Below are 24,864 nucleotides of genomic sequence, written 5' to 3' on the forward strand. Positions count from 1 at the left end.
CCTTACTAGTAATCAGAAAAATGAAAATTTAAGTCACACTAAGATATTGCATACTAGAATGCCTAAAATGAAACAGACTAATACCAGAGGGTGACAAGGATGTGGAACAACAGGAATTCTCAGACTGCTGATAGGAGTATAAATTTGTACAACGTTTTTGGAAAACATTTTTGGCATTATCCACTAAAGCTGAAAACACGCTTATTCTATGATCTAGTAATTCCACCTCTAGGCATACACTTAACAGAAATCCCTGCAAAAGAACAAGAAACACATGCAAAAATATTCACAGCAGTATTATTTGTAAGAAGCCCCAAATTGTATACTAAAATATTCATCAACAGTAGAATGGGTAAATTGTGGTATGTTTATACCATGGACTACTATAAAACAATGAAAAGGAACAAAATAGTTACATGTAACAACACGGTTAAATTTCACAAAATTTTAAGAGAAGTCAGACAATAAAAAGCACGTACCTAAAGATTCACTTTAATTAAAGTCCAAAATAGAGGCAAATTGAATTATAGTATTCAGGAACACATGCTGAGATGGCAAACGTCTAAATACAAGTGATTACCATTAATCAGGATAGTGGCTATCCTTAGGGTTGGAGTTAGGAAAGGGGTGGTGATTAGGAGGGTGCACAAGAGGCGCTTCTGGAGTGATGGCAATATTCTATTTATTGACCTGGATGGTGGTTACACTGTAATAATAGATTACTGAGTTGAAAATTTTATGTACTTTTCTGTATGCATGTTCCATAATACAAAGATTAAACCACCAAGCAAAAGGAATGAATCAATTTTTGAAATCAAGATGAAGGGCCTGGTATTTGGTTAGTAGGCCCTTCTCTTTGAGTTATTTTCTTAATACGTAGTTTACATTGAATTATCCACATTCTTTTGCTGAGACCCTATGCCAGACATTTCTGAGATGGCTGGCTAAGGTAAAAAGTTTATTGCCAAAGAGCTGTAGAAAATTAACCAAACCAAAAATCAAACCTAAAAATATGGCCTACTTTTAATATGCTCTAAAAACCACAATAGAATCGAGCATAATTATTTGTTTTTTGAGTGGAAGGAAATTTCTTTAAAGGAAAAAGGATTCCTGCCCACAGAGTAAATTAGGCAGATAACTCAGACACGAAAGGGACAGACAAAAAGTCAAATCCCTTTGCTGCTTCCTTGTTTCAAATTACATAACTTTCAAGGCAGAATTATCTTTGACAGAATCCTTAGAAGTAAGATTTTTAGATTTAAAAGATAGTGGTATAAAGGATAGCTGAGCATGTTAAAATGGGAATAAGACAGAAATTGTGTAGGTGTTAACATGAAAAAAAGGGGGAACTGCATAATATACCTAAGTAGAAAGAAAACCAAGATGACGTTGAGTCTAGGGGAGTGGAATGAAAAGTCTTAAAAAGATAGGAAGAGTCATCTGCATGATTTGACAATTCAGGAGAGCCTGTGAATGGACTTCATAAAACAAGATCAGACTTGCATTACAGCAAATTACATGTGAAGAACTTCTACATGGGAGTTTAATTGTGGGATTCAGATATTAAGGAGATTGGTCAATCTTCCTAAGAGATAGTCCTTCCACCCCACTCAAACCCCAAACTCTGTGCAAATTCAACTGTTTCTGGAAATTGTCTTCAGACTGCTGAAAAAAATCATACATGGTAAATTGGATCCACTATAAATTCATTGTCAGCAACCTTAACAATGGCTTCAATATTGTGATAATTTCCTATTTCCTTGGAAAGTTCTCCCATTTTTCACAATGACTATTGTTAAGCCATCTCTACTTTTCTTAACATTGTTTACACTCCTCTTATTCCCCAATCACCCTAAGCAGTGTTGTCATCTACTTCAAAGAAAAAATAAATCTCAATTTTTTGGCATCAGACCTTCAATTTAACTACTTATACCATCTTTTTCTCCTTCCTGCATAGTTTCCTTCCACAAATATAAAATTAATTCCTCCCTCCATCCATGGCAGTGATCCTCTCCCTGCCTAATGTCCCAAACTTTATCATCCATTCTCCCAAACCTGTTCCTCCTCTAATGTTCCACCCAACAGTAAGTCAGCCCTGGAAGTCATCCTTGACTCCTTCCTCTCCAATTACCAAACCTCATATATTCCACATCCTAAATATCTCTTAAATCTATCTCATTATTTCTCTCCTCTGCCACCATTATAACTATCATCTGTCCACCCATTCTAACAGCCTGAGTGGTCTCTTGACCTCCAAGCTGACTTCTCTCTAATCCATTAACCACTTTGTAGCCATCAGCTATCTTTCCAAAATGCTGCACTGGTAACTCACTTCTTCAGTTTTATTGCCCATGGAATAAAATACAAACTCCTTACTATGTTTCCTAAGATCCTCTCATGATTTGCTCCTGCTTATCTTTCTAATGTATTTCCAGCTATTGCATTGCTTGTATGCTCTGCACCAAGCATTTGCTTACATTCACACGCATCTGTTTCCTTTGCCTGGGAGACTCCACACTCACTTCAACATTTATCTGTCTAGGTTGATCTCAAACCTTCAGTGTCATTTCCTTTTAGAGGCCTTTCCTGACTTCCTAGACTAGGACTGTTCTCTTTCCTATGAGCTACTTGACAACATTCATTGTTCTTTGTTAATTTATCTGTATACTCAGAAAGTAGGGCTCTGTCTATTCACTGTTGTGGCCCCAATACCCAGCAGTCTCAAAACTCTGCAGGCATCAACAAATGCTGCTGAATAAATGAAAAGAAATATAATAAATATATAATAAAAAGATTAAATAAACCATCAATAATAGGAGATGTGCTCCTTTATCTGGAATGGTATAAACAGTTCCTATAGATTTTCATTAAAATTAGAAGTATAACATTTCATGGTTTGCATAGGTAAGAATGAAATGGACGCTTTAAGTAATATTGGAAGCTGTTACAATGGAAAACATACTGTGACTTAATGGCTTTTGTGTCTTTTATATTGTTTCCAGGCCAGAAAGGAAGATATGGAATTTTAATACTCCTGGAGACACTGGTGTCAGAAGAGTAGTATTGAAAAAGCTAGCTTAAAGGCAGGATAAATAAGAAATCTATCAAAAAGTCTTTGAGTATAACACATACATATACACAAGGATTACATTTATACAGATACTATAAAATATTCAAAATCATTACCACTAAACAAATATACAAAAAGAAACTATAAATATCTTGCGAAAGATGACTTCAATACATGCTCAGTTATGTTTTTTTTTTCTAAAGGAAAAACACAGCAGCTGGCCTTACAATAATGAGAAAAAGGTATTGATGACTAGCCTTCTAAAAAAAAGTGCCTGAAATGTTCATTCAAGGCTGGTATTCATTCTTTATTCAGAGCCTGGTTGTCAGGCTTGAAAAGCAACAGAGATTACTGATGCATTCTAGGGCCAAATCATGGAGGACATAAATTTGCTCTTAGTACAGCAGTGAATAAAGGGAGGAAAAAACTTATTTGTATTCCAAGGGTCCTATGCATTCTGTTTGGCTTCAGTAAGATTATTTTAATTAATTATAAGCTATATGGCACAACTTGGAAATACCATAATTTGATATTCCATTTCATTAGTTCAACATAGCAAAGCCATCCTTTAAATCCTGATACTGTATGATTAGTATCTTGCATTGGTTTATTTGTACTTTTTTCCTAAGTAGATATTACAGAAATAATGAATTCTAAAAGGAATTTTTGAACTATTTAGGAGCTTTAAATTTATTTTAGATTTGCTTCAGTTTGGAAAAGTGGTTTTAAAAAAAAGCTGGGGTCAAGATATATATAGTGGAGTGAAAATGAAAAAATAAACAGCAGTGTTATGTTTGCTAAGGACAAACTTAAAGCTGTGTTTTGAAAGTAATTCATGAGAATTCCCATGAAATTAAAACACATGATCAATTTTGCTGTCTTAAGAAATGACTTCAGAAACACTAATAAGTTTCACATTTTGGTTAGAAGAATCATTCCCATACTTTTCATTTATTAAAATCACACATACAAAGTTTTGATGAAATCAGGATTAGTTTTAAATCAACTATGTTACTGAGATTAGTGGAGAAAGAAATTTTAAACAGGAGCAGTGCCTAGGAAGAAATAATTTTAAGAGGCCTAGTGGACCAAACAAAAAAGAATGTATTTCTGAACCTGTTTATGTGAAGAGATATTGTGAGCTGCGTATTTAAGACAACACCCTTGCTATTGGGCAAGAAATCTATTTGGCAAGCTCAAATAGGAAATAACTGTGATGCAAAATGGTATGAGTATCACTTGAAAAAAGCTTATAATAAAAGAATTACAGGAATTCAAAAGGAACTTGAACCCAGGAGGCGGAGCCTGCAGTGAGCCAAGATCATGCCACTGCACTCCAGCCTGAGCGAGACTCTGACCTACTGTCACTCCAGCTCAGAGTGAGACTCTATCTAAAAAAAACAAAGAAGAAATTCAAAAGGAATATGAGCTCCAGTTGTAATTAGAGAAGACTTCATGAAAATACAGATGTGAGATGGTTGTTAAGGGGCAGAGCTTTCTAAAAGTGGAAATAGAGGAAGACGTTTCATGATTTATAGAACACAACCTAAATGAACATTATTATTATCTTTCAGTAAATATTTACAACATGAAAATGATTTGGAAGTCATCTCATCTGCCCAGATTGATTATAAGTCATGAAAAGCAGTGGTGATGGTTTAAAATGTCTTATAAATCTGAAGCTTATGACTATCCTTCATTAGGAAATGATACAGAAAAACTCCCTTTCCTCCATAATGATTGCATTTTATCCCAAACACCACTGCTGCTAGGTTATTTCCCTCTCCTCCTGTCTCATTCTCCTGGGAAGGAGAAGGAGGAGAAGGAGAAGGATCAGCATAACAAAGGCAACAGACTGAAAGCTTCGAGGAGGTAGAATAAACACAGAATATGTGAATTAAGGATTAAAAAGCATTCACTGGATTTGATAATATAGAGGTAAATGGGTGATGTCGACCAAAACAAGTGAAGCCAATTGTTTCCCCCGTGGTATACAATGCATTTTTTTTTTTCTGATTCTATGCTTGTGCATGACCCTGATGAGTAGTAAATCAATTCAACAAGAAGGTTGAATTGTTACCCAGTAACTTTCATTCTTCTTAGGGTATGAAAATTGGCCACTGAATGTTCTGTTCCAAAATTCCCTAAGCAAGTTAAGCTAAATATCTGGATTAAAAGATTTATTTTGATTTTAAAATGGACACTACATATCTGGCTTATTTAGTCTGCAGGCACTTTTTCATCTTCCAAAAATATTCTGAAAAACAAAAAAAGTCTATCATAGGCTACTGAGCATATACACTGCAGGGCTTTACTGATTAACATGTCTACTTCTATTATTAAGAAATCTTCACCAATTTCCTTTTGTAACATCCTTAGCTGCTTCAAAACCAGTACTATTATGTTTTGGTTATCTGGCCCCAAATATATATATATATATTTGAGTTTTATAAAATATATATACTAGTTGCCTCCTTTTGACCATAAGAACACTTAGACTTTAAACTGTGACATATTTTCTTGAGTTACATTTGACAATATACATTATCATGAGGTTGGAAAGGAACCTCAAATGGCTCTCTAATCTCTTGTTCTTTCTAAGCTACCCAAAAGAGCAAATCAAATCTTTTATTAAAGCTATCAGAAAAATTTTTTTATGTCCAAACTGAATTGCCACAATAGAACTTGGTTCATTATTCCTATTCTATAAAGATTACAGGTCATTAGTTATCTGCCTAAATAGCCTCCTCCAAATTATCAAGTTACTAAGTGACCTCACATATCAACTATCTATTGCCACAATAATGCTGGCAGCTCAAAACTTAGGTGTAAGACAATAAGCATTTATTTTTGCTCACGAATTTTGAATCAGTGGACTGGGCTGGGCTGGACTAGTCTAGGCGAACCTTGTCCAGGCTTGCTTATCTGTCTACCATCAGCAAGCGAGTTTGGGCTTGGCTGGTCTATGACGGTCTCACGTGAGATACCTCTCCCCCATGAGGTTTCTGATCTTCAGCCAGGCTAGCTTGGGATTATTCTCATGGCAGAGACAGGTTTGAGAGAGGGAGGTAGGGAGATGGAGGGAGAGAAAGCTAAAGCTTGCAAGGTTTCTTGAGACCCAGGCTTAGAACTGGCACAATGTCACTTTTGCTACATGCTATTATTAGCCAAAGCAAGTTTCAGGGACACCCAGATTCAAGGACATGGAACAGAACTCACCTCTCGATGGAAGAACTGGAAATTGTACTGCAAAAGGAGTAGATATAGGCAAGGCTGAAGACCACAGTCACTTTTACAATCAACTTACCCAAACTTCATGGAGTCGTTTCTTCAGATGAAGTAATCTGCTATTAATGGTGCTTCCCCTCCACCCCTAAATCTAAGCTGTGCAAACATTAACTCATTTTATCATTGCAAAATAGAATTTTTCTTTTTCTTTTTTTTTTTTTTTCCAGACAGGGTCTCACTCTGCCCAGGCTGGAATGCAGTGGCATGATCTCAGCTCACTGCAGCCTCAACCTCCCCAGGCTCAAGTGATCCTCCCACCCCAGCCTCCCAAGTAGCTGGGACTAAAGGCACACCCCACCACGCCCGGCTAATTTTTGTATTTTTTTTGTAGAGACGGGGTTCTCGCCATGTTGCCTGGGCTGGTCTCAAACTCCCAGGCTCAAGTGATCCACCAGCCTCAGCCTCCCAAAGTGTTAGGATTACAGGCATGAGCCACCATGCCTGGCTGCAAAACATAATTTCAAGAACACTGTTAAACTGAAATTAAGGTATGCTGAAATTAGATGACAAGTTGAGGTTTTAATTTAAAACCACAAGCAGTTGAGAAATACAGAGTTTATGAACTTAGGGGGAAAATGACATAAAAGCTACCTTACACAGTAGACAATATGAAGCTGTGCAATTAAGAGGAAATTATGTAGCCTAAGTGTTTTTCAAATTTTCATTCACTATTTAAAGCCTACCATACAGTATTTGATAAATTATGATAAATCATTTTATTCAAAGAGCAACACTGATGAACTTTTAAAATGAACCATTTATTAAATCAGACTGTTATTCTTAACAGTTATGTAAGTTACATGTATGTTTAAGTCAGAGTATTTCACATGGAAAAGTTTTTAACTCCTATAGGCAAGCAAAATCATATCACACAATATATAAGTGGGAAGGGGATACTGCTAAACATTCAAATAAGGCAAGTATATAAAAACAATAAAACAATAATGAAAAAATTCAAGCATTCCTTTAAGAGAATTCAACACTACAAGCTAAATGTACTTTCTGAGTGTATTCGTATAATCAAGGCAGTGTTTCTTCTTTTAAAACATCAGGAAATGGAATAAGGCTCATTAGTAGACACAGCTGCCCTCAAGATTTCAATTTCAGTTGCTTTCTTTAAATTAAAATTCACAAAGTACACAATTAAGATATATCAAAAAACTGAATCTGCTACTCTAACAACAGCTGTCCATGCTTAATACTTAGTGGTTTATTTGACCAAATTAGTCTTTTCAGGGGGAAAAAAAAGATAAGCCACTGTAAAACATTTAGTTTGAAATGTATGCTAATATTTTCCTTAGAAATCAAAAGTTATGGAGGAAAAGGGTCATTTATTATAAGGAAAAGAAAGCAAAACACTAGAATGACCAAACATTTTCAAGGAACAAGCACCACAAAGGACATTTGCATTCAGTTTTGTAATATTTATCAATGCATTTTTCTTACTCCAACCAATCTACTTCATCAAATTCTGAATCATCTTCCGAATCACTATATTCAACAGCAATACGGCGAGACAGGATGGTGGCAACATCGTTTTCAATGCGTTCATGCTTAGCTTCCTGTTCACGCTGCTCTTCTACTTTGCGTAGCTGAATACCTGATACAGTGAATCCAAACCATTCATTTAAATCAAAATACTAGATACTAGATATTATTAATATTTCTGGAATAAAATCAAATACACATGAGAAATACTTATAGGAAAATAAAAAGATCAGAAAAGAATGTGAAGAAATCATACTGAGAGAGGCATTAAATCTTTATGTTATCTGTGTTATTAGTTGGTAAAACTTACCAGATATCCCAGTAGGTATCTACAGTTTATTTATCCATCATGGTCTACTATACCTCCCTGCTCACCACCCCCTAAAAAATTAATGAGGTGGTACATTTCTTCTATCACCTCAATGGTCAAATAAATTAAACATTGTTGAATATATTTTCTGTGGCTTCATTATCCATTGTATTTGAGGGAAAGGCACTATTATTCATTCTATATGCTCAGTGCCTGGCCTATAGTCATTGCTTAGGAAATAATGACAATAAATGAATGAATATGAGAAGTCTTTCCTTTGTTACTAAGGGAGGAAACTCACTCCTCTAAAGGCATCTGGTAGAGCAAGTGTCATGGATACCCAAAATGAACAGCCTTAACATTGAAGAAAATACCATTTTTAAAGGAGTTAATATACACATTAAGCATAATATAAAGGGTTTTAATTAAATGTTCTATAACATTTAAGTCTGATATATTAAATTTCTCATTCACTCAATAAACATTTTAAGGATACCTACAAAGCATGAAAATAAAATGGTCAAATGTGATATATTTTCTGGAAAATAATTTTAAATATAAGTTGGATATAGCTTTACTTTCTAAAGGCCATTTGTACACAAACATGATCACCTAAAATTTTATAGATAAGGAACACATTTTTGTCTTAAATATTTAGAAAGTTTCCAATGCTACTATAGCAATGCTTTTCATGGAGCTGAGAAAATTACCTTTTCGTATTGCTTCCAGTAGCACACTCCTGGCATCACTGATTACAGGTAGGGTTGATGGATGGCGCTTTGGCTCAGAAGCAGGTATAACTTGTGATGGAGGAGATGGAGGCATTAATGGAACATGGGGACCTGGGGCAGTAGATGGAGTTGGATGTAGCCCAGAGGGAGGATGAGCAAGAGCTGTAACTGTGACAGGTGATGATGGTCGAATGCCAGGTGGAGGCAGAGGAGGCGGTGGTGGGGGTGGAGGCAGCCCCTGAACTTCACCTTGTGGGAGTGGATGAACTGGTACAGTCTCACATACTGGGGCAGCTCTAGCTACTGGTGGAGAGGGCTGTACTAGAGGAGGTGCAATTGGAGGAGGAGCTGGGTGAAGAACTCCAGGGGCAATCTGAAGAGGAGCTGGAGGTGGTGGTACTGCTGGAGCTTGCAAAGCAGTGGCTGGAGGTGGAGGTGGGGGAGGTACTGGAGGGGGAGGAGTTGAAGTCATTGAAGCTCTTAATGAGGAAGTTGACAAGGCAGATGGAAGAGGTGGTGGAGGAGGTGGGGGAGTGGGGCTCACAAACACAGGTGTTCTGCCTGTAGCTGGTGACTGAGGGCGATTTTCTATCAAACCTGTAGCAGAACTGAAATGACAAAGAGATTCTAGCAAGTTATTAAAAGAGAAAAGCCTAAAGAGAAAATCTAACCACACAAACTATAAATGACTATCAGTAATTATATCAAAATGGATCCAATAACATGCTCCTATAGAAATTTAACATCTTCAACAGTATTTAGAAAAAAAAAAAGAACTAAAAGCACATCAATAAAAAAATTAATGAGTGGTGCTTTGGTTTGTAATAGTCTAAATAGTCTCATTCTCTCATGCAACTTTGGCATCCACTCAGATATTTTATGCTTACTTTAATAAATAAAATGCTCAATTCTATACTGACAGGAGTCTCTATAATGACTCAACATTGATCATAATGCAATTTTGTGGCAATACATGTGGCCAATACAATGCTATATTTATACTGAAACTATGAAGTCTCATCATATGCTATTTCAGTTAAATCAATGACAGCTAATTACAAACCACAAAAAGAAATTTACAGCTCTCTCTTTTCCTGAGGATGGAACACCAAATGAGTCAGTGATAGAAAATTGGATTTTTAACTGAAAATTGTAAAGCTGATCTCTATATCTCTATTAGAAAATTTCCCTAATATTTCTCTATTAGAAATTTATCATTTGGATAATAACTGACAAGATTAAACTTCAAAATAGCTTTACTGAAAGATTATTATAAGCAACTGCCAATCCTCTCTGAAATTCTTTAAGTATTTTCCTTAATACCAAATTAGTATTAATAATCACATCTTTGGTTCCCATTTCTTAGACTGTTACCCACATTCCAAAAAATCCTTAATTTTTCTTAATACACTGCACATGATATGCTTGATAACAACACTATAATAAAATGAAACAGGCTTTAATCTTTAAATTCTTATTAGCTAAATTTTCCTAGGAGAGTGTGTCAGCTCTAACCAGAAGATTACAAATAATGTCCCACAGACCAAATCTGACCTGCTCCCTGTTTTTATAAATAGAGTTTATTTCAACACAGACACATTCATTTGTTTATGTATATTCTATGGTGGCTTTCATGCAACAATGGCAGAATTGAGTACTTGTGACAAAAACTGTAAGGCCCGAAAGCCAAAAATACTTACTATATCGTCCTTGAAAGAAAAAGCTTACTGACTCCTAAGATAAAACATCATATGCTTGTTCCAACATACCTGATACAGGTGGGTATCGGTTTTGCATCTCCTGCTCCATGCATTGGTGGAGGTGGAGGTGGTTCATGTGGTCTGACTAATACCCTTTCCTCAGCTCTAGTCAGAAGCTCACTCATCTGACTAAATGGCAAGGCAGAAAGTGAGTAAGATCCATCCATATGATCCACGTATGTCTGAGGTCTAAAAGAAATATATAGTATCAGTGAATTATTCTTGAATTATTGGGAGGAAAGGGTTCTACATGAGATATTAAATATTTAAAGTTTATCCTTTCAATGCCAATATTTTAACTATTTTTAAGAAACTTTCAGAAATGTATTATATTAATCCTGCTTTTAAAACAAAGAATGCTGCTCACAATATAACCCTTACTTGTTGATTTAGAGATCTACTATGATGACCATCGGTTATTTTATTATTTTATAACAGAATACTAATTCAACTCACAGGATGAAAAGCATTACGTACGTAATTTAATAAACAAGAAAATAATTAACTTTTAGCAAATTGTGTGGAAAGCTATCTGCCTCTATTTAGTTCTTTACAAGAAGATGCCAATGACAGAAAGGTAGAATAGGAAAATGAGTTTTCTACTACTAGTATATCTCGGTGTGCTCTTAAACTTAAATGACTTCTAAAAGTCTTGCACCAGAGAGAAAGGCCTCCCAGATACTAGCAGCACAGAGGTGGCTAGCTATATTGTTTCTGTCCTTCTGCTGTTTTCAAAGGTGCAAGGGTACTCAGAAAATAGCTGAGTAACATAGCAACATGTGACTTAGATGTAAGCAAAATTTTAGATAACTCGAACATGTTAAGATTTATAAATATTTGCTAGTACATTCTTGGGAAAAAGTTGGATTTAACAGATGTGCACACAGCAAGTCAGAAATTATTGTATTTAGTGAGTCAGATAAGTACCTTAATTACTCAACTGTAGTAGAAATAAATGTCTAAAGTTTATTAATTTTTTAATGTCAATTCTTTCAGTAATACAGATAAATAGTATCTCTCAGATGTATATTTCTCCTAAAATAGGTCAAGATGTTGCACACTTATGGCCCAATCATTTATATGTATATTACTTAAAAGAAAACCTTAAGCTCTTTTCCATTAAAAAATCATATGACTAGGCTGGGCACAGTGGCTCACACATGCAATCCCAGCACTTTGGGAGGCTGAGACAGGCAGATCACTTGAGGTCATGAGTTCAAGATCAGCCCGGCCAACATGGTGAGACCCCATCTCTACTAAAAATACAAAAATTAGCTGGGCGTGGTGGCGTGTGCCTGTAATCCCAGCTACTTGGGAGGCTGAGGTGGGAGAATCGCTTGAACCCAGGAGGCAGAGGTTGCAGTGAGCTGAGAGCACACCACTGCACTCCACCCTGGGCGATAGAGCAAGATTCTGTCTCAAAACAAACAAACAAACGTATGACTATACCCAAATAAGTGTCTTCGTAGACAGATGCCAGTTTAATGTGTTTGCTGGTAGTATGTTATTTAGTTAGGGCCCCTGGCCACTAAGAAAGGAAAAAATCTTTTCTACAAAAGGGATCAATACTTTTGTTTGAAAGTCCTAATATATCTGAGGTGGGCAATGTGGCAAAGAAAGGAAGTCAGGGGAAAGTAAAAGGAACAAAACAGAACCCCTTCTTCACTCCTATTTTATATGCAATAAATCAACAGTATTTCAAAAAAACCCCAGACCCTAAACTTTTATTACAAAATTCTAGCAGACTGTGCCTGAAATATCGAGAGGCTATTGAGACGTCACACTAAAGCTAAAACCCTAAAGATCAGCCACTCCAACCACTTCTTTCTAAGATGACAAAACTAAGGTCCAGGTATGAAAATGACCTGCTCAAGGCCTGACTTTAGTAGGCTCACAGTGGTCAGGATTTTGAAATAATCTCTATATTTATAACAGGGTCTGCCTGTTCAACAGTTTAGGACTCAAGACTTAGAAGTACAGATACTACAAATAAAGCCAATGTTTTATCATTTAAAAAAAAAAACAAAAGTAAAGAAACCTTGTTTCAAAATGAGAGGCTGGGCCATTAGCAACTTCAATATGCTTATGTAAGAGATTAGCATCATCTTCAGCCAGCTCTGGACCTTGGGCCAGCTTCTGCCATTCTCGCCGCCTGTCATGAGGTGCTCTTGGCACTTTTTCTGGTTCATGAGGACGATCTAGATTTTTCTGCTATAACAGATGTATTGAAACAAAGTCAAATGCTTAAGCGCTAATTTTTAAAAAGGAGGTTATAACAATCAAATTAAACTCTAACATCAACACTGAAAAAGACAATGTCATCATAATATAGTAAAAGTAACACAGAAATGGTTTACTTGTACATTCAGTTAAATCTTAGCCAGTCTGCTGTAATCCCAGTTTCCTGCCATGTTTTGTTTAACCCCTAATTTGAACTGATGCACCAGACACAAAACAGTATGCCTAAAGAATACAATTTGAGGTCAGAAAGTCTTTCAGATGAAAAAAGACTCATGAACCCTTGCTCCACAGGCATTAGTTTGAAATTTCTACGATGAATGGCATTGTCTGCCCCTAATCAAAACGTAACAATTTACTAAGGTTATGTTATCTGGGAAGTAACTGATTAGCTAGCCAACACATTAGAAAAAAATCCAATTATCTAATTAACCGATAATAACTATATCACTCAACAGAAAACATTGTCTTTAAACAATAAAACAAAAAGTGATTCAAAACTGGGGGAGAAAGTACAGAAAGGGCTAGAGTAAGTGTAACAAATTCAAACGCCCAAAGCGGCCAAGCGGATAACATACATGAATGAAGCCAGTCGGGTGTAAGATGGGGCATGAGGTGAGCTAGACAGACATGTCCATCTCAGGCACTCTAGTTCCAAAATTTAAAAACCTCTGTGTTTGGCAAACAAAACACTCCCTACAGGCATAATCTGGCTTGCCAGTCACCAATTTGCAAATGTTAGCTAGAACACTGGGTTACCATCTAGCAAAGAAGACAATACAATGGCATTATACAGGGATTAGGGAAAGCAGAGATAGCTACAGGAGAACCAGAGAGATGATAAAGACAGAATTTGCCTCCTTCATAATTCAACCTAAATCTAACTTTGCTTCATCCTTCTGTGTTTTCAGTTATCATTAACATGAAATATAAAGCAGATACAAGTGAATTTTATTAGAAAGTGGAAAATGACAATAACAGAAATTTCATGTGAATATAATAACCTCTCCAAAACATTTAGGAGAGAAATGTTTAGGATGTGCTCTGTAGCAACAAAATACTAGCTTAATCTACGTTACCAATATCTGTACAAGATTCCATTGCTCCTTACCAAAATGTTCCTCTCTTCCTTGGTACACCTAACTCCTATCTGTTCTTCAAGATTCATTATAAGCTTTGTGGGAAGGGTTTACCCTGCCTGCTAGCTAAAGCAGATGCTATTTTGTGTTATCTAAACCCTTTATGCATACCTCTGCTATGGCACTTATTATGCCCTACTCTAATAATCTAATTGCTCATCTGCTCCCCATCAGACTGTGTTCTTTCTGTGGAGTTATAAAGACTTCAGTATTTAACTATATGGACCCAATAAAATAAAACTGTCAAAATACAAGATTAATGAAGTTCAATATATGCAACAAAACACAAATATACAAAAATTAACCTCAATTTTTTAATCTCTTGTAATACCTTCTGCTTCCTCTTTTCCTTCCTCTTATCCTCTGTATCTTGCAACATTTTTTCTTTCCATAGATCAAAGAAATACGAAGGATTGGTATAAAACTTCAGACCTTCTTTACCATCATCTCTGAAATATAAAATATCAATTAAAACACACATTAGTAAGACTTAGGCAATCAGAATAGAAATAATTTCACTAAAATGTTTATCCTCTTACATTAATAAAATACAGCATGTTAAAATAGTGCCAAAATAAAACTGAATATTGCACCAATAGAAAATTTCTCACAAATATGAGGAAACAAAGAAAAGTGGTAAAGCAGATGCTTTTCCAAGTTAGTACTAACAATTTAAAGTATAGCTGGGCAATTTTCATCCCTAATTTCTGCTGAATCCCAAATTTTCTAAAAAGTCCTTTGGGCAATTCCAATAATTACAAATAGCTCTGCCAAAGATAAAAGCCTGAAAAGACAGTAACATCATCTAGAAGACAGAAATTTTGCAGTTTCTGCCAATACTATGATTTATTTATTATCTTACTAAATCCAAAAGATATCATGTAATAGTCATTCTAACAGTCACATTTATATCTAATTATCTGCACACTGACTTACAATTTCAAATAACTCTCTGAATACTATTTTATTCAGGTTGTGTTGTACATTACCCATTTAACAAACCATGTGAAAGAACTTCAAAGAAAGGCTAAATAATTCCAGATTTTATTCTAAGTGGTAAAAAGCATTTTATAAAGGTACTACCTATTCATTATGTAAGAAGTTAATGTATACAAATCAAATCAAGAGTAGACGAAACAGGCCGGGCGCAGTGGCTCACGCCTGTAATCCCAGCACTTTGAGAGGCCAAGGCGGGTGGATCACGAGGTCAGATCGAGACCATCCTGGCTAATACAGTGAAACCCCATCTCTACTAAAAATATAAAAATTTAGCCGGGCTTGGTGGCAGGCGCCTGTAGTCCCAGCTACTCGGTAGGCTGAGGCAGGAAAATGACATGAACCTGGGAGGCAGAGCTTGCAGTAAGCCTAGGTGACAAAGTGAGACTCCGCCTCAAAAAAAAAAAAAAAAAAAAAAAAGAGTAGACAAAACAAGCAAAAATTATGTTTATTTTGTTAGTAGGACAGAATTTTGAGCTTTTTCCATTTGATTAAAAATTAAATTAAAAGGACAATAATAACTCCTTATCTCTTTACATTAATAAGTTTACCAGTGGCTTTTCTAAACTTGTAAAAACAACTCTTTTAAATAGGTCTTGTCTTTTGTATGCCACAATCTTAAGAATTCATCCAATGAATAAAAGCAAAGGTTTTCCAAAGGTGGTGGACAGAGAGGGCTCTCTGTGTTGGCTAGAACCCCAATGAAATAAAGAATGTTTGGGGATTTAGCATTTCAATCTGAAGTCTGAGATAAATAATAGGGCTACTATTTATTAACCTACCTACCTATAAGGAGTGAGTATATTGAGAGGTGGAGGCTGTTCACAAACATCGTACGTCTCCTGTAATGGAATAGGCAAAGTCTTGCGATCGAAAAGCTGCTGGTCTTGAATTGTAGAACTTCGGAAAGCTTTCCTCATTGTTATATCTTGCAAAGACACTAAAACAAAAATCAAGAATTCATTTTATTTTATTTTACTAAGATGATTTAACATAAGGGCAAATTCACATACTTTATTTGTCTAAAAGTCAGCATGGCTCAAGAGGTTGTGACCTTAGTGGCTTATGAATCAGAAACCATATTTTAAATGTTCTATCATTATATTTACCCATATCATTCTGCGCCTAATTTTCCCAATCAGATAGGTTTTAATTAACCTTTGATTTTGAAGGCTCAGAGGGCCCTAATGACACCTGAAACATATCTACATTTCAACCAAATATACCTTTTTCTTTCTTCTACCTGCCATCATGGGCCCCCACCAACTTAGGTTCTCTTCTCCTATAATCTTCTTTTCCATCTCCCTTTATTCCTTTTTTTAGCTTACACCAGTAACTCTGAAAGGAATTACTTATTAGTGGCACTGTGGGCTAAACACGCTGTTAACCTCTATGCTACATATACTATAAATATTGTATGTGTACTCTCAAGTTAAAACAAACTTTACTGTAAAGGAAATACTTTTAAGTATTAGGTGATCTATATTATTCTCTTTTTCACTTATCTTTTATCTGTACTATAAGGATTTCTACCTAACTATAAGCTCTTGAAGACTCAGACTATCTTGTACATTAGTATTCCCAGTCACTAGCACAGCCCCATCACATACATGATTTAAAAACAACTTCATTTATTTTGAACTGTGCAGCATGTTAAAATAAAAAACATACAAAAATGCTGCATTCTTAATTCTTACACTGATATCCCGATATTAAAAAATAAGGTAATTTCTTGATATTTAATATGGCCTTAAGTATACAGACAAATGCCCTATAACATAGCAAGGTCAGTATAACAATCCTAACAATTCTTTTTTTTTTTTTTTTTGAGACAGAGTCTCGCTGTGTCACCCAGGCTGGAGTGCAGTGGCACGATCTCGGCTCACTGCAACCTCTTCCTCCCGGGTTCAAGCAATTCTCCTGCCTCAGCTTCCCAAGTAGCTGGGACTACAGGCACCTGCCACCATGGCCGACTAATTTTTTTTTTTTTTTAAATTTTTAGTAGAGATGAGGGTTCACTATGTTGGCCAGGCTGGTCTTGAACTCCTGACCTCATGATCTGCCCGCCTCAGCCTCCCAAAGTGATGGGATTACAGGTGTGAGCCACCACATCCAGCCAACAATTCTTAAGTTATCCTTCTCCTTAAAATAATATTCCTGTCATCCCCTCAAGTAAATTCACTCAACATGAACATGGGACCAATGGCACAGAAGGTACAATAGGCTGGCTCTGCAATGGTGGCACCATAATTCCATTTCTAGCAATTCCACTGCTGCATGACCTGTAACACACTTATAAATACTAAAATAAAATTCAGAGAAGCAAAAAGTTTTTCCCCACTATCACTAAAAAGTGGCACTGGAGATACAGTATTTAATGAGTACATACTATATGTGCTAGATGGTTTCACTAAATTTCATTTCATTTAATCTTTACAATTCAGTAAGACAGGAATTATTACTCCATTGTGAAATATAAGAAAGCTAAGGCTAGGAAATAGTATATAACTGACCTGAGGTTAAACAGTTAATAAACAGCAGAGCCAGAACAGAAAAGTCAGATCTGTCTACCTTTGAGGCTAATCTTTTTGCCACAATACCACACGCTGTTCTCAGGCTCCTGCCAGAAGTGGGTTGTGTTTTCTGCAGTCAAAGTGGATCAATTCTTGCCACTCTCCTGCCCCACTTATTAATCAATAAGTATGTAATTAAGATGAAACCTAGTGTTTAATCTCGCCAAACTTCCTTGGTAAAGGATGTAAGAAACATGTAAACTAATAAGCATGATGTACTTTTCTATCTTCAACTCCTCTCATTTATCGTTTGTCTTATTATTAACAGACTATTGTGGTGAAGCTCCTTCCACTTGCCAACAATAACATCTGATATTAATAAAATAGAATTATAAAGCAATAAATTAGCATAATGCTTATAAACATAATTGACTTAAATATAATTGTACAAGTCTTTGTTTAAAATTCATTTAAAAAATATTTTCAAAATTGATAGTTTTTAGTTACTACAAAACGGTTAAAAAAACTGATACCACACTGTGCTATTTAGTACTGTACACATGATGTTTTTTTTTTAATTCCCACTGAATTAAAAAACCTAGGTTAAATAACTGAAAACTCCTTCAATACAACCTCTCCAAAACAATTTCAAATTAAGTAGTTCAGCTTTTAGATTCTGAATTCTTCCCCCACTGCTCCACAAAATTTTAAAGGAAACTAGGTATAATTCTGACAGTATAGCTGTTGACATATTAAAATTTGTTTTTTAACACAAACATCTTAATTTATTTACTGTTATCTGTATTTTCACTTTCAAGTTTAATGGTGGCTCTAAGACATTTGTTAAAATGTAACAATATTTTGAAACTAAATGTTGATTTTTATTTCTGTTACATATGAGAACTGCCTGTGTATTTCTCTATTATTTGATGGCATAAATTTATATTTAAGTGATAAGCAGTTGAGTTATCTGAAAAACAAATTTTGGCTATAAATTATGTATTTGAAAGCATGACCATAAAATATTTTTCACCACTAACAATGATTTTATTTCAAGAATTCCATGAGGTGTAATTAATGTATTGATACATGCACATGTTTCAAAGGATACCACCAAGAAAGACAACCTAAAGAAGGGGAGAAAATATTTGCAAATCATATATTTGATAAAGGATTTAGATCCAGAATATACACAGAATTCCAACAAGTCAAAAATAAAAACACGAATAATACAAATTATAAATGGGCTAAGGAATTAAATAGACATTTCTCCAAAGGAGATATTCAAATGGCCTGTAAGCACATGAAAACATACTCAACATCATTAGCCATCAGGGAGATATAAATACATGCTATATGAATGAACCTTGAAAACATTATGCTAAAAGAAGCCAGTCACAAAAGACCACATACTGTACTATTCATTCATATGAAATATCCATACAGACAGATCCATACAGACAAATCCATAGAGGCAAATCCATACAGACAGAAAGATCAGTGATTGCTAGGGGTTGAGCTGAAGGGGAAACAGAGTGACTGCTAATGAGTACAGGGCTTCTTTCTGGAGTGATACAAATACTCTAAAATTGATTGTGGTGACGGTTGCATAACTTGAATATACTAAAAAACACTGAATTGTACACTTCAACTTTAAATGGGTGAACTGCAAGGTATACGTAGGTTGTGAAATATATCTTAATAAAGCTATTTTTTAAGTATTATTTCCTTTTCTTCTTGTATCCAGAGCTCTGAGTTTACATTTTACAAGTGGTACAAATCTAGTATGCCAAGTATTTGCCTCTCCTTATTTACACATTGGATTATTTCAAAAGTAGCTGGTTCCATCACTAAGACATCTATCATTACATTATATTTTTGTTCTTTCCACTGACATCCTTTAGTATTTTTATTGTTAAAGTTTAGATCTATTATATAATTTGCATTTATACTAAAAATTAGATCTATCATATAATTTGTGTTTATACTATTTAATGCAACAAAAATATTTTGAAGAGAGTGTAAGAAATTCCATTAAACAATTCTCTGTGGTAGGTAAGTGCAAATTATGTTCTTAGTATTGCATTTCTTTTTGTGAAACAAACAAAAAGATGCATTTGGGAAACGTCGGCATTCAATGTATTCTATCAAGGCATAAAACATGATTTTACCACCGAAGTTTCTACAATTATTTTAGCCTATCTGATTATTCCTGATTTAATATCTTGGTATAGAATGTTTACACCCTACATACTGGCAATTTGTTTTTGAAATGTTCATTTAAAGTAGGAAGTTGCATTCAGTTAAATAACTAATAAGACTTTAGCAATATGCACATACAAAAGCATATTAAAAGCAGTTACATAGCCAGGTGTAGTGGCTCATGCCTATAATCCCAACACTTTGGGAGGCCGAGGTGGGCAGATCACAAGGTCAGGAGTTCGAGACCAGCCGGACCAACATGGTGAAACCCCATCTCTACTAAAAATAAAAAAATTAGCCAGGCGTGGTGGCAGACACCTGTAATCCCAGCTACTCAGGAGGCTGAGGCAGGAGAATTGCTTGAACCTGGGAGGTGGAGGTTGCAGTGAGCCGAGATTGCGCCACTGCACTCCAGCCTAGTGACAGAGTGTCTGTCTCAAAAAAAAAAAAAAACAAAAAAAAAACCAGTTACATTCTTGTAGAATCAAACCTAAAGATTTCAGGTAATTTTCTAATAATTTTTATTTCTAAGACAAAAGTATACAAATAAATTATAAGGGAGAAATGAAAAGAGAAAGATAATGAAGAGAATGGAGGAAAATGTCTGGTTAAAATGACTTCTTTATGCAAAAAAATTAGGAGCTGTTTAGTGTACAAAAAGAAGAGATTTAAAACAGAGTAGAAAAGAAAAGCCCGGAGAATCATACTGATGGCATTTTTAGATAATTCACTGATTTATTACAATATGTACACCAAAGGACATGGGTATGATCTGTAATAAATTCATGATTAATACTGTTAAGTATATCATTCATCTCATCTAACTTAAAATATATACGTAGAAGAAAATACAATATTAATAAGCTTACATTCTTCTTCCTTTGGATCAAGCTGTGTAACACTAACAGATAAACGGTCCACACGTTCTTGCAATGAGTTGACTCTGAAGGAAAAACTATGTGCTTCATTGAATAATTCTCCAAATATATCTTCAGCATATTTACCTAAGCAAAAATGACACATATATCATAAAATTTAACATCCAGAGCACTGAGTTTTTATCTTTGCAAGCAGTAGAAATCTAGCATGATATTTGCCCTCAGATACTTTGTGATCAGAGATAAATAATGAACAATGTAATATTACAACTGGTGACCTGTTGAATTTGGAATTTATTTGGAATTACAGTTGACCCTTGAACAAAATCGTTTAACTGTAATAGTCCACTTACATGTGGATTTTTTTCAATAAATACATTGAAAATTTTGGAGATTTGAGACAATTTGAAAAAACTTGCAGATGAACCACATAGCCTAAAAATACTAAAAATTTTAAAGTATATTTTAAAGATATGAATGCATAAAATCTATGTAAATACTAGACTATTTTATCATTTACTACCACAAAATATACAGAAATTATAAAAAGTTAAAATTTATCAAAATTTACACACAAAACAAAAACATACATAGTGCCATTCACAGTCAAGAGAAATATAAAGAAATGGAAAGATATATTAGGTTGGTGCAAATGTAATTGCAGTTTTTGCCAACCTAATAGTACTAAATCATAACAATAAATTTAAGTGTAATACTGTATTACTGTAACAATTTTATAGCCACCCTCTGTTGATACTGCAGTTAGCTCTAGTGTTGTTACTATCCACTTAAAATGCTGTTTGAGCAGTTCTCTCTCCACTAAATTGCATATAAGAGTAGGAAGTAATCTCTCATGGTTCTTGTGTATTTTCCATCATGTTTTATGCAATACTGTAAACCTTGAATACATTGTGAGACTCATTCAAAGTGCCACCAGTGATGCTGGAAGTACTCTCAAGTACAAGAAAGTCATAACACTACAAGATAAAGTTGAATTGCTTGATATGAACCCCAGATTGAGGTCTACAGCTGTGGTTGCTTAGCATTTCAAGATAAATGAATCAAACTTAAGGGCAATTATAAAAAAAGAAAAGGAAAATCATGAAGCCATTGCTGCAGATACACCAGCAGACACAAAAACCTTGTACTTTTTGCGAATACCTTTTAATCTTGTATCAAAATGCAATTTTTGTGGGTGCATGGCTGTTACAAGAAAGCATACATACAGACTCTAACATGATTTGAGAAAAAGTGAAGTCCATATATGACAACTTAAAGCAAAAGGAAGGCAAAGGATCTAAACCTGGAAAATTTAATGGCAGTAAAGGATGCTTTGATACTTTCAGGAAGAGGTTTGGCCTCAAAAATGTCACAAGAGAAGCTGCAGCTTTTGTCAGCCAAGAGGCAGCAGATGAGTTCCCAGATGCCATTAAGAAAATAATTAGTTTCCATGTATGCTGCTTGAAAAAAAAAAAAAAATTGGCCAGGCATGACAGTCTGTAATCCTAGCACTTTGAAAGGCTGAGGTGGGCAGACTGCTTGAGCTCAGGAGTTTGAGACCAGCCTGAACAACATGGTGAAACCCCGTCTCAACCAAAAATACAGAAATTAGCTGGGCACGATGGTATGTGCCTGTAGTCCCAGCTACTTGGGGAGGTGAGGCAGGAGGATCACTTGAGCCTAGGAGGTCGAGGCTATTGTGAGTCGTGATCATGCCACTGTACTCCAGCCCAGCCTGGGTGACAAAGTGAGACCTTCTCTCTCTCTCTCAAAGAAAAAAAAAAAAACAAAACAGAAAAGAAAAAGAAAAAAATTGAGTAGAAACAATATCTGCCTGAACAGAGTTTTAATGCAGATGAGAGTGTCCTATTCCAGAAAAAAAAAAAACTGCTACAGAGGACATTTATTAGTAAGAAAAAGTGAACACCAGGATTTAAGGCAGGAAGGGACACACTAACTCTATTGTTTTGTGCAAATGCAGTCGGGTTTATCATCAGAACTGCCCTTATCTATAAAGCTGCTAACCTCAAACCTTGAAGGAAAAAGAAGGCCAAAAGAAGAAGGCAAGACAACAAGAAGGCATGGACAATGAGAATCCTTTTTCTGGATTGGTCCCATTGACGCTTTGTCCCTGAAGTCAGGAAGTACCTTGCCAGTAAGGGAATGTCTTTTAAAATTCTTGTGATAACTGTACAACATCTCTGGCCACTCAGAACCCCATTAGTTTCACACTGAAGGTGTCAAAGTGGTCCACTTGCCCGCAAACATGACAGCTCTAATTCAGGCTCTAGATCATAAGGACATTTAAGACTCATTACACATGGTATTCTGTGGAAGACTGTCAACACTATGGAAGAGAATCCCAACAGAGAACATCATGAAAGTTTGGAGGGATTATACCATCAAAGATGTCATAGTTATTATTGAAAAAGCCAAGAAAACCATCAAGCTCAAGAAAACAAATTCATAAAATTTGAGAAAACTGTGTCCAGATGTTTTGCATGACCTCACAGGGTTTTTAACAGTGCCAGTCAAGGAAATAATGAAATAGACAGTGGATACAGAAAAAAGGGTGGGGATGAAGCGTGGCAAGGTATGGATCTTGGAGAAATTCAAAACCCAATTAGACAGCACACCAGAGGAATTAACAGAAGATGACTTGATGGAGAAGAGTGCCTCCAAACCAGTACCAGACAATGAGAAAGAAGACATAGAAGAGGGGGTCACTTCCAAGACGGCTGAATAGGAACAGCTCCGGTCTGCAGCTCCCAGCGAAACTGATGCAGAAGACGGGTGATTTCTGCATTTCCAACTGAGGTACCTGGTTCATCTCATTAGGACTGGTTGGACAGTGGGTGCAGCCCACAGAGGGCAAGCTGAAGCAGGGCGAGGCATTGCCTCACCCAGGAAGTACAAGGGGTCAGGGGATTTCCCTTTCCTAGCCAAGGGAAGCTGTGACAGACTCTACCTGGAGAAACAGTACACTCCTGATCAAATACTATATGCTTTTCCCACAGTCTTAGCAACCAGCAGACCAGGAGATACCCTCCCATGCCTGGCTCGGCGGGTCCCACGCCCACAGAGCCTTGATCACTGCTAGTGCGGCAGTCTGAGATCAACCTGTGACGCTGCAGCTTGACGGGGGAGGGGTGTCCACCATTGCTGAGGCTTGAGTAGCTCAAAGTGTAAACAAAGAGGCCGGTAAGCTTGAACTGCTCAGTAAGGTCTATTCCCTCTATAAATTCCACCTCTTGGGGAAGGACGTAGTAGAACAAAAAGCAGCAGACAGCTTCTGCAGACTTAAACATCCTTGTCTGACAGCTCTGAAGAGAGCAGTGGTTCTCTCAGCACAGCGTCTGAACTCCGAGAACGGACAGACTGCCTCCTCAAGTGGGTCCCTGACCCCCGTGTAGCCTGACTGGGGAACACCTCCCAGTAGGGGCCAACAGACACCTCAAACAGGTGGGTGCCCCTCTGGGATGAAGCTTCCAGAGGAAGGATCAGGCAGCAATATTTGCTGTTCTGCAGCCTCTGGTGGTGATACCCAGGCAAACAGGGTCTGGAGTGGACCTCAAGCAAACTCCAACAGACCTGTAGCTGAGGGGTCTGACTGTTAGAAGGAAAACTAACAAACAGAAGGGACATCCACACCAAAACCCCCTCTGTAGGTCACCAACATCGAAGACCAAAGGTAGATAAAACCACAAAGATGGGGAGAAACCAGAGCAGAAAAGCTGAAAATTCGAAAAAAAAAACAAAGCGCCTCTTCTCGTCCAAAGGATTGCAGCTCCTTGCCAGCAAGGGAAAAAAACTGGATGGAAAATGAGTTTGATGAGTTGATAGAAGTAGGCTTCACAAGGTTGGTAATAACAAACTTCTCTGAGCTAAAGGAGCATGTTCTAACCAATTGCAAGGAAGCTAAAAACCTTGAAAAAAGCTTAGATAAATGGCTAACTAGAATAAAATGTAGAGAAGACCTTAAATGACCTGATGGAGCTGAAAACCATGGCACAAAAACTTTGTGACGCATGCACAAGCTTCAATAGCTGATTTGATCAAGTGGAAGAAAGAATATCAGTGATTGAAGATCAAATTAATGAAATAAAACGAGAAGAAAAGATCAGATAAAAAAAGAGTGAAAAGAAACAAACAAAGCCTCCAAGAAATATAGGACTATATGAAAAGGCCAAATATATGTTTGACTGGTGTACCAGAAAGTGATGGGGAAAATGGAACCAAGTTAGAAAACAT

The 24,864-nt window shown here is 36.1% G+C and overlaps 1 protein-coding gene across 4 annotated transcripts in view, besides 2 other annotated features; it reads right to left on the reverse strand.

The window, feature by feature from the left end:
* Window positions 1-7,097: 7,097 nt before the first annotated feature.
* Window positions 7,098-24,864, reverse strand: part of WASF1 (WASP family member 1) — a 79,852-nt gene continuing 62,085 nt past the window's right edge. For all 4 annotated transcript variants that reach the window (NM_001024936.2, NM_001024935.2, NM_001024934.2 and 1 more), the window contains 7 exons: window positions 20,605-20,739; window positions 15,807-15,960; window positions 14,356-14,473; window positions 12,686-12,858; window positions 10,657-10,836; window positions 8,867-9,495; window positions 7,098-7,958 (listed from right to left, as the gene is read on the reverse strand). In NM_001024936.2, the coding sequence (NP_001020107.1) occupies window positions 7,801-7,958; window positions 8,867-9,495; window positions 10,657-10,836; window positions 12,686-12,858; window positions 14,356-14,473; window positions 15,807-15,960; window positions 20,605-20,739 (1,547 nt within the window). In that variant the 3' untranslated portion in view covers window positions 7,098-7,800. The remainder of the gene's footprint in view (window positions 7,959-8,866; window positions 9,496-10,656; window positions 10,837-12,685; window positions 12,859-14,355; window positions 14,474-15,806; window positions 15,961-20,604; window positions 20,740-24,864) is intronic.
* Window positions 23,225-23,770: an enhancer, noted in NCBI's record as "H3K27ac-H3K4me1 hESC enhancer chr6:110437149-110437694 (GRCh37/hg19 assembly coordinates)". NCBI's record gives its function as "activates a minimal SCP1, AML or CMV promoter by ChIP-STARR-seq in naive H9 embryonic stem cells {active_cell/tissue: H9 hESC(naive)}" and the evidence as "EXISTENCE:reporter gene assay evidence [ECO:0000049][PMID:30033119]".
* Window positions 23,771-24,314: an enhancer, noted in NCBI's record as "H3K27ac-H3K4me1 hESC enhancer chr6:110437695-110438238 (GRCh37/hg19 assembly coordinates)". NCBI's record gives its function as "activates a minimal SCP1, AML or CMV promoter by ChIP-STARR-seq in naive H9 embryonic stem cells {active_cell/tissue: H9 hESC(naive)}" and the evidence as "EXISTENCE:reporter gene assay evidence [ECO:0000049][PMID:30033119]".

The sequence above is a fragment of the Homo sapiens genome, chromosome 6, assembly GCF_000001405.40.
Source record: "Homo sapiens chromosome 6, GRCh38.p14 Primary Assembly".
In the NCBI taxonomy this organism is placed as follows: domain Eukaryota; kingdom Metazoa; phylum Chordata; class Mammalia; order Primates; family Hominidae; genus Homo; species Homo sapiens.